Below are 9,140 nucleotides of genomic sequence, written 5' to 3'. Positions count from 1 at the left end.
CGGGTCGCCTGGCCGCGCTCCCGCCTCCGCGCGGAGGCCCGCGTGCCGGCCATGGCCCCGAGCCGCGCGTCCGGGCCTGGCGGGCGCTGACGAAGGGCGCGGCCTCGCCTGCCTCGTCGTCCCGCACAGCGCGGCCTGTGGACCCGGCGTCTGCCCGCCTCGGCTCTGCTCCTGGGCCCGGACCCCGGCGCCTCCCCGCGAGGCAGCCCTGGGAGACTTTCCGGGCCGCCGTGGCGTGGTGGGGGATGCCGGCGCCTGTCCACTCCCCGGCCTGGCGAGGCCTGGGGCTCTTGACAGGTCCCGTCACGCGCGCTAAGGTGGCGCGGGAGCAGCGGAGGTGGAGACGCGCGCCTGACCTGCCGGAGCACCCTGGGGCCCTCCTCTGATGGGGCCGCTGTGCCGCGCCCGGAGGGGACGAAGCTGGGCTCTCGGTCCCTCCCGGGAGGGTCCTGTGTGATTACTGTCAGGGGACCAGATTGGGGCCCTGGGGGGCGGGCAGGGGCCGAGGCCATTCTTTTGCCTCTCCCCTCAGATGTTTTTGTGCCAAAATGCCTAGACCCTGCGGAGGACCCTTTCTTCAGGGTTTTTGATTTTGGGGAAATCAGTGTATGTTTTAAGTTAGCACATCAGATTTCTGTAGATTGTCCAGAAAAGCTGAGTTGCCCTGATGGCTCTGCCTGGAGGTCAGAGCCAGCAAACCACTGAGTGTGTCCTTAGGAACCTGAAGATCCGCGGAAACGTGGAGATGAGTTGGAGGGTCCTATTTGTGTAGTGTTAACTCCGTGCTTTTGTGGAGAGAGTTGTGGTTAAAGGGACACGTTACTGGTCTACACGATAAGTAAGTGTTCTTAGGACTTTCAGGTTTTAAAAACATTCATCTGATGAAAGAGGATCACTTGGACGCCTATGCTTCTGTCTTCGAATATTCTGAATCTTTACAATCCTGATTGTCAGGTGTCTTCGTGGTGCTTGTTTTCAAACAGTGGAAAAGGACTCAGGTTAGGATTTAAGCAACTCGGAAAATATTGTTAAAAATGTGCTGTTAAAACAGGTTAGCTATATTGAATATGTATTGGTGTAAACGTTAAGTTTTCTAAATAAAAATATACATCCTCACCAAAAAACTCAGTTTATTAAAAGATGGGTTCGGGATAAGCCAGGTCCTAGAGAATAGTAATTTTCAATATTATTGATATCTTTGGAAATTAGGTTCTGGAATAGCCAGTTTATTTTGCAAAGTCTACTTTAAAGCTACCTGTGGCACGTGTGTATTATATGTAATATGTGCTGTGTACATGCACATACATACACAATTATTTCAAAACTTCATTTTAGGGCATATTCCATAAAACTCAATAGATAAAAAAACAAAAAACTAAAGATTGCTTTTAACATGGTCACTATAAACATTGATCATGGTAACATAGGTTTATAGATTTACTCACGGCACCAAAATGCTGTTTTAAGAAGAGAACAGTTAGTCCATTTTAATTTGGGGAGAAAAGACATTTTCCTACAATCCTTTTTAGTAAGGGCCTGCTTTACTTTTTATGCTTCCATCTCATGTTTGAAGGGTAAGCCCTGACTGCTCTGCTGTATTTTGCCCGTGGCTCAATGTGTGAGTTGGGTAGCTAGGTTGTTTTGCTATTATTGAGCTTTATTGTCTTGGTTTTAGAAGACATTGTCTTTTGATGTGGCTCATGATTCTTATTTGACAGTGATTTTGTCATATAGTGGGTTGTACAGTACTTGTAGTGCTATCTTCTAGAGAGGGTGACTTTTATGGCGTTGGGATGTTTTATTCTCTACCACTATCTGACATGTGAGGTGCTTGTTTCATTTGAGAAAGTAGATATTTCGTAGACAGTCTCTCACTTGCGACCCTACCATGTCATGGTCACGTTTCCACTTGCTCATGGCAAAGGAGATAAGGGAAACGTGTTATTGAGTGCCTCCTTGTTATGCGCCAAGATGTTTCAGGTTCTACGTACATTCTCTTCTAATCCTCACTGTGACCCTGCGATCAACTCGATATTGTCCTTGTTTTATAGGCAAGGAAACTAAGAGTCAGTGATTATTACCCCAAGTTAGGAATCTCGAAGTGGCAGAGCCGAGATCGAATTGTGGTTTGGTTTCAGAATCTTTGGAGGCATGCTTTTTGTATTGCATTACTGTTCCAAATGGATTTCAGGGCTGCATCACGTGTAGTGACTCCTCAGTTAAGACTTGTGGAATGAATGAAGCTGTGTCTAACCTTAAATGTTCAGGTGAATGAATGGTTATTTGAATATTTCAGATAGTTGTTTTTTTTTTTTTTTGGCATGGTAAAATATACATAACACAACGTTGAACCATTTTAAGTGTACAACTAGCTGGCATACAGTACATTTACATTGTTTTTAGTCATTACCAGCATCCATCTCCATACTTTTTCATCTTTCCCAACTCAAACTGTCCTCATTAACACTAACTCCTGATTCCATCCTACCTTCAATGCCAGAGAACCACCATTCTACTTCCTGTCACTGACTACTGGAGAAACCTCAAAATAAGTAGAGTCATACAGTATTTGTTCTTTTGTGTCTGGCTTATTTTACCCAGCATAGTGTCTCCACGGCTCATCTGTGATGATTTAGATGTCAGAATTCCCTTCCTTGGAAAAGCTGAATGGTATTTCATTGTATGAATATACTGCATTTTGTTTATCCATTCATCTGTCCATGGCCACTTGGGTAGCTTCTATCTTTTGGCTACTGTGAATAATGGTGCTGTGAACGTAGGTATACAAATAATTCATTGGAGTCCATGCTTTCCCTTCTTTTAGACATATACCTCAAAGTGGTCACATTGTTTCTTGATCTTCAAAACACTAGACTAGACTCAGAATTTATTGCAGTATGAGTTTTCTCAGGGTTCCTCCAAGCAGTGATAATTTCCTACAAACAACTCCTCTGTCAGTAAAATCTGTAATCTCTCTGAAGCCCAGGGTCGACTCCTTTTTACGATCTTGGTTCCAATCATAGTGTCTGGCAGGTATTCAAAAAACTGATCAAACATGGAGTGATGTGCTTTATTGAATGCCAGAGGAAGATATTGGTGAGGTCTTTAATTTGTATAAAGAGAAAGTTGGAGCCAAGTGACTTATTTTGTTTACCTTTTGCTGTGCTTTTTGGACATTCAAGAGCTTAGTTCATCCTGAAAGCCCAGTGTATGTATTATACTCGCTCTTATTCACAGGTTTCTTTGCAATTTACGACTTGCCAAATGACTAGTCTTCTGAGGCAGCATTATTTTCTTGGTATTCCACCTCCTTAGCCTGTGGGGCTTGGACCTTTTGATTTTTTGATGGCTAGTTTTCACTTCTTCCAAATTTCTGCTAAGACTCTAGTATTAGTACATTTATTTAATAGTTTATGATGTCTATTTTGAGAAAGGATTTGAAATGGTCTTATAATAGGAAAGTATTAGAGTACTATGAAAATGGTAAAGGTTGGTAGTATAGAATGTGGAGGCAGAGAATTAGATGAATGATTGGGGCAAGGAAAGGTGAGTGCTGCATGTAACTCACGTTGATTAATGAAAGGAAGCATACCAATTTGAAGCAGATTTTTCTCTTGTATGAAGAATAATCAATCTTTTGGATTATTACATTAAATAACATTAGCAATATATGGAGAAAATGTTTTACATTTTACAAACGATAGAGAAACATTTTTTCACATGCCATTTTAGAGAAACTGGATAAAAGCCTCAGGCATAATAGAAAAGCTTTAGTAATACAGGTGTTCACTGTTCCAGTGGTTTGATTCATTAATTTCTTTTGGGTGGTGTCCCTCGAATATCAGTTGTCTCATTCAGGCTGTTGACAGATGCTAAATAACAATCCATTCAGGAATAAGCTCTGTGGACAACATGGGCAGTGAGGATTTTCCAAATAGGAATTCTCACCCAGTCTTTTTTTTTTTTTTGAGACGGAGTCTCACTACGTTGCCCAGGCTGGAGTGCAGTGGTGCGATCTCAGCTCACGGCAAGCTCCGCCTCCTGGGCTCATGCCATTCTCCTGCCTCAGCCTCCCGAGTAGCTGGGACTACAGGTGCCCGCCACCACACCCTGCTAATTTTTTGTATTTTTAGTAGAGATGAGGTTTCACCGTGTTTAGCCAGGATGGTCTTGATCTCCTGACCTCGTGATCCTCCCGTCTCGGCCTCCCAAAGTGCTGGGATTACAGGTGTGAGCCACCGTGCCCAGCCCTCTCACCCAGTCTTTAGGAACGTGTGTTGGTCTAAAAAGTAAGACTGGTTGTATCGTGGTGTATACTTGATGAATTAATACAGAAAGAAAAAGATTATTTTTGAGATGTAGCTGGTGAAATTGACATTTTCAGTTATGTAATAAAGCCTTTGTTAAAATAATTCTGAGTGCAAAATGGCTTCCTCATCTAAAATTGTCAATGAATTGTTGGTACTCCTTTAACATGCAGTTACCTCAATATGCATTTTAAATAAGTGACTAAGAAGATGCTACAAAACATTCTCTGAGGATGTCAGTAAGACTGTTACTAGAAGTAAGACATGACAGGCTTAAGTTTGGCCTTAGAGTTTTTTCTTTTTGTTTTTTAGGCTTATAACAGCATTACATGTTCTTGGTTGTGTTAAGGTTTATGGAATAGTAAGGATTAGATTCTTCATGCATGTTCATTACCAGACATGGTGCTTGACATATAGGAGACACTCCGATTTGTTGAGTGAGTAAGTTAATTTATAATACTTTTTGAAGTATTTAGAAGCTAACACAGTTTTGTGGGGAAGAATATTGCTTGCATATTAAGGCTTTTAAAAAGATTATTACTATTCTGCTTTTGGACAAATCATGCTACTTGGTCCTTTTTGCTTTGTGAGGTACGTATGATTATGTGCACAGAAACATTGCAGACTGAGGGAAGTGTTAAGAATCGTGGGAGAAAATCGCCGTCAAAATTGGAGTTTAACTGTATTGCAGACTTTCTCCTTGTTGGCACAGACTAACTCTGTTGTGCTTGTTCGTTCTTTGACAGCTCAATGTATGCCATAAAGCAGGGGTTTTAACAACACATTTGAACAATTCTTGAGGATTAGAAAATGAGGTCTGTTAACCAGTTCAGAATTTTAAGAAAACAAACCGGTTGTACTTAGAGAACTTGAATAATGAGAGAAGACTCTTAGTTTAAAAACTGATCTTTGACATGATGTAGGAAGGTTCTTTGATTAAGAAGTTAAATGACCCTGTTTGAAGGGAAAAAGAAAGGTAGTAGTCGTATTTAGTCGTATTTAGTCCTCTGAGATGTTTCGAGATTGCAGGATTTCTGTCTTTCCTCTTTTGGTAACATCCTGGGAGGTGAGATTAACATGATGAACTCACAGCCTGTCCGCCTCTTATGCATCCTGCTGCCCAGCCATCACTGTCAGTTGCTCTGATTCATGGTATTTTAAGTTCTTTCCACTTTGCAGAGTTAAATATTAATGTTTTATCATAGCTTTGTAGGGATGCTTAAGAGCAAGTGTTTGGCGTCAGAGAGACCAGGGTTCAAATCCTGATTCTTCGACTTTATAGCCGATGAGCACTGGGCATATGGCAACGTCTCTTGAGTCTCAGCTTCCTTGTCTATAAACTGTCGTAGTGGTGTTTGCCTCTTGAGGTTTTGAGAAAAAAAAGGAGTTTCTTAAACTCTCATGGTACATAACTAGCATTTGATAAAATTAATGTAATATTTTTCTTTTAAATACGTGTATTAGAGAAAATTTTAACATGCAATAGTCTTAATGTGATTAGATTATATTGTGAGCCCCCAAATTATCAATATTGAAATGTATGGTCTAGTAATATAATGGAGGATGAAGGAAAAGAGGGCTTGAGAACAATATTTTACAGACAAGTTTTCGAGGAGGATTATCTATACTGGTTCAGCTATCTTAGTTGGTCTCTGTAGTAGTGATACCAAATGTAACAGTGCCTTAAACGTCTCTTAACTTTCCCTAAATAACACATTCTTCATCTGCTATGCATGAATTAACACATCATCCTTGAAATCATACTTCAATTCAGTGTATAAAGCCAAGTGTTTTGTAAAATAAACCTCAAGTTAGGTTTTATGTTTCCTTATGATTAGATTCAGGTTTCAGCTGGGCACAGTGGCTCACTCCTGTAATCTCAGCACTTTAGGAGGCCAAGGCAGGAGGATCTCTAGAACCTAAGAGTTTGAGGTAGCAGTGAGCTATAATTGTGCCACTGCACTCCAGTCTGGGCAACAGAGCGAGACTCTGTTCCCCTCTTTCCCCCGGCAAAAATAGATTCAAGTTTTGTACTTTCAGTAGGAAAACTACATTAGGTATGTGTTGTCAGTTTGTCCTAATACTGGTGATCTTAGCTTTGTCACTTGGATTAAAGGGGTATCTATCTGGTTTTTCCACTGAATAAAAATACTAGTTTTCATTTGTAATTAGTAGGTAATCTGCAGAAAAGCTTTCAGGCTATGTAAATATTCTTTAGTAACCTTCACCCAATGGTTTTAGCATCCATTAATGATCCTTGCTTCAATCACTAATGTGATGGTTAAAAATGGTGACTTTTCTGTCATTCCTTCTACATTTATTAGTTGACATTCAGTAGAGTTTCGCCTGAATTTTAAACCTAACAAAATACGATTTCTTTTTTGTTGTTGTTAATGCTGAGTCTTGCTCTGTCTCTCAGGCTGGGGTGCAGTGGCGTGATCTTAGCTTACTGCAACCTCTGGCTCCTGGGTTCAAGCGATTCTCCTGTGTCAGCCTCCTGAGTAGCTGGGACTACAGGTGCAAGCCACTATATTGAGCTAATTTTTGTATTTTTTAAGTGGAGACGGGGTTTCACCATGTTAGCCAAGCTGGTCTCGAACTCCTGACCTCAAGTGATTCACCTGTCTCTGCCTCCCAAAGTGCTGGGATTGCAGGCATGAGCCACCGTGCCCGGCCTACAAAATACAGTTTGTAAAATGAGAAACTAAGTTGAGAAATAAGACTGTCTTGAGTTGGGTTTTCCCAGTTGCACCTGTAACTTTAAGAACTTTAAAATTGTTTCTGAAACATCTTCAAGGTTGGAGTCAGATTAGTTTGCATTAATATGGAAGAGAATTTTGTAGTGGTTGGAAGTTAACTGAGAAAACTAGGATGGGTATAGTCAGATGATACCAAAATTATCATTGCACTAACTGATACCTCTCTAGCTTTGACAGTTTCTAGTTAGCCTCGAATTATTCTTTTGGACTTGGGTGCCAAGATCGAGGATGTTAAGCTTGTTGAAATAATTTGGGTTGTTTAAAGTCTTTTAATTTAAAAGTGTCTAATTTGAGTTTTATATTTGACCTATAAAAAGCTGCTTTAATTCAATAGTTAAGATCAATAAAGCTTATTCTCAACATCGAATTAATTAATAAAAAATTATTCATGGATATTTACTTTCCTACATTCCAAACTACCTAGTCATTACAAATTTACAGTAACGTGAAAATCAAACAAATCATGAACTATGTAATATGAATGTGAGTATAGTATGAGATTATCTTTCAAAGATCTTAATACTCTTGAGGGAGATGGCAATAACAGCTAATATATGGGGCAGTAATATAATGAAGCCCGTGATGATTTGGGTGTTGTAGCTAGCCCATGTGTGCTAAATGAGAGGGGAGGGGACTAAAGTGATAGAGGTTTTTAGGGAAAGTTGTGGGGTGGGGTTCGTGAGAGGTGGCGAACTCTGTTGGTACACACTTGTTTTGGTGTTACGGGAAAGGCAGATAACATGAGATGTTGCGCAGAAGCTATGATGATGTAGTGCGTCACACTCTTGCCTGGACCTTTTAATATATTTGCTTTCCTGTCTCAATAAACATCCATCTTAACTCAGTAGTCTCTTATGTTCATTTTGTCTCTGGATTGACCTCCCTTTAGTATTTAAGTATTCATGTTATATATCTTAAAACAGCTTGACAAAGAGAAAATTGTGGCTCCTTTTTCCCAATGGATGCTCTTTCTTGGTGTAAAGGTAGAGGGTAGTCGTGAATTGAATAAAATTCTAGCACTCGTTGCACAGTGTTAAGAGTAAAGTATGTGCCTGTAGTCTCAGCTGCTCAGGAGGCTGAGATGGCAGGATCACTTGAGCCCAGGAGTTCAAGGCTGTAATGTGCTCTGATGGTGCCTGTAAATAGACAGAGTGAGACCCTGTCTCCAAATAAAAAATAAAAAAAAAGAGTAAAGTACAGAAACTTGGAATCAAATATGAACCTTAAAACTCACCTTGAAAGCTAGTGATGTGTTAAGTATTTATGTCTCTTGAAACAAAACTGTAGGACAAATGTCATTATAGGTAACTTGAAGGGGAGGGGTGGGTATCTGTGCTGTTTTGATGTGTTGAAATGTCATCTTTCTGAGAAGTACTCCAAGAAGTAAGCGGACCTTTGGCTTGCAGCCTGGAGACACTTCTTATATGGAGATCTTTGATGGGTGGAATTTGTTAAGATGGTATTTGACCTGTGTTCCACTTCAATTTTGGACCAATCTAATTTTAGGCATGATTATATTGAAATCTAAACATAACATATTTATGTTAGAGATTTAGAGAAACCCAGAAATTTATTTGGTTCAGATACAGTAATGCATGAAAAGAAGGCTAATGAATTTGTGGTTTAAATTGTAGGTACTATGATACTGTAAAATATATATTTGGTCTGTCCTCTACCCTATTCTTAGGCATACAAGGCTTGAAATCCTTAGAATCTCCAAAGTGATGTGTTTTTGTATGCTAATGATCGACTGGTGGCCGGTAGCTCCTGGTAGCTTCAAAATGGGGGCTGGTTACTGGGAAGACTAAGGCATGATTAGAGGTTTGGACTCAGACCCACCCTCCAACCTCTGGGGAGGGAAGAGGGGCTGAAGGTTAATCATGCCCAGGTAATGAGTCTTCATAAAAACCCTGAAGGACAGAGTTTGGAAAGCTTCTGGATAGTTGAACACATGGAGGTTCCTGGAGGGCAGTTTGCTCTGGGAGGGCTTGGAAGCTCTATACCCCTTCTCCATACCTAACCCTGTGCATGTCTTCATCTGGATCTTTGTAATATCCTTTACCTAATTAATTTA

General features: G+C 40.5%; 1 protein-coding gene across 31 annotated transcripts in view, besides 1 other annotated feature; it reads left to right on the top strand.

Moving 5' to 3' along the window:
- The window catches only part of DICER1 (dicer 1, ribonuclease III), a 71,783-nt gene that overhangs the window by 826 nt on the left and 61,817 nt on the right, over positions 1–9,140 (top strand). The window lies entirely within an intron of this gene.
- Positions 6–365: a silencer, noted in NCBI's record as "silent region_6041". NCBI's record gives its function as "represses an Ori minimal core promoter by ATAC-STARR-seq in GM12878 lymphoblastoid cells {active_cell/tissue: GM12878}" and the evidence as "EXISTENCE:reporter gene assay evidence [ECO:0000049][PMID:35858748]".

The sequence above is a fragment of the Homo sapiens genome, chromosome 14 (assembly GCF_000001405.40).
Source record: "Homo sapiens chromosome 14, GRCh38.p14 Primary Assembly".
Classification (NCBI taxonomy): domain Eukaryota; kingdom Metazoa; phylum Chordata; class Mammalia; order Primates; family Hominidae; genus Homo; species Homo sapiens.
Note: the sequence above shows the minus strand (reverse complement) of the source record. Positions and strands in the feature narration are given on the sequence as shown.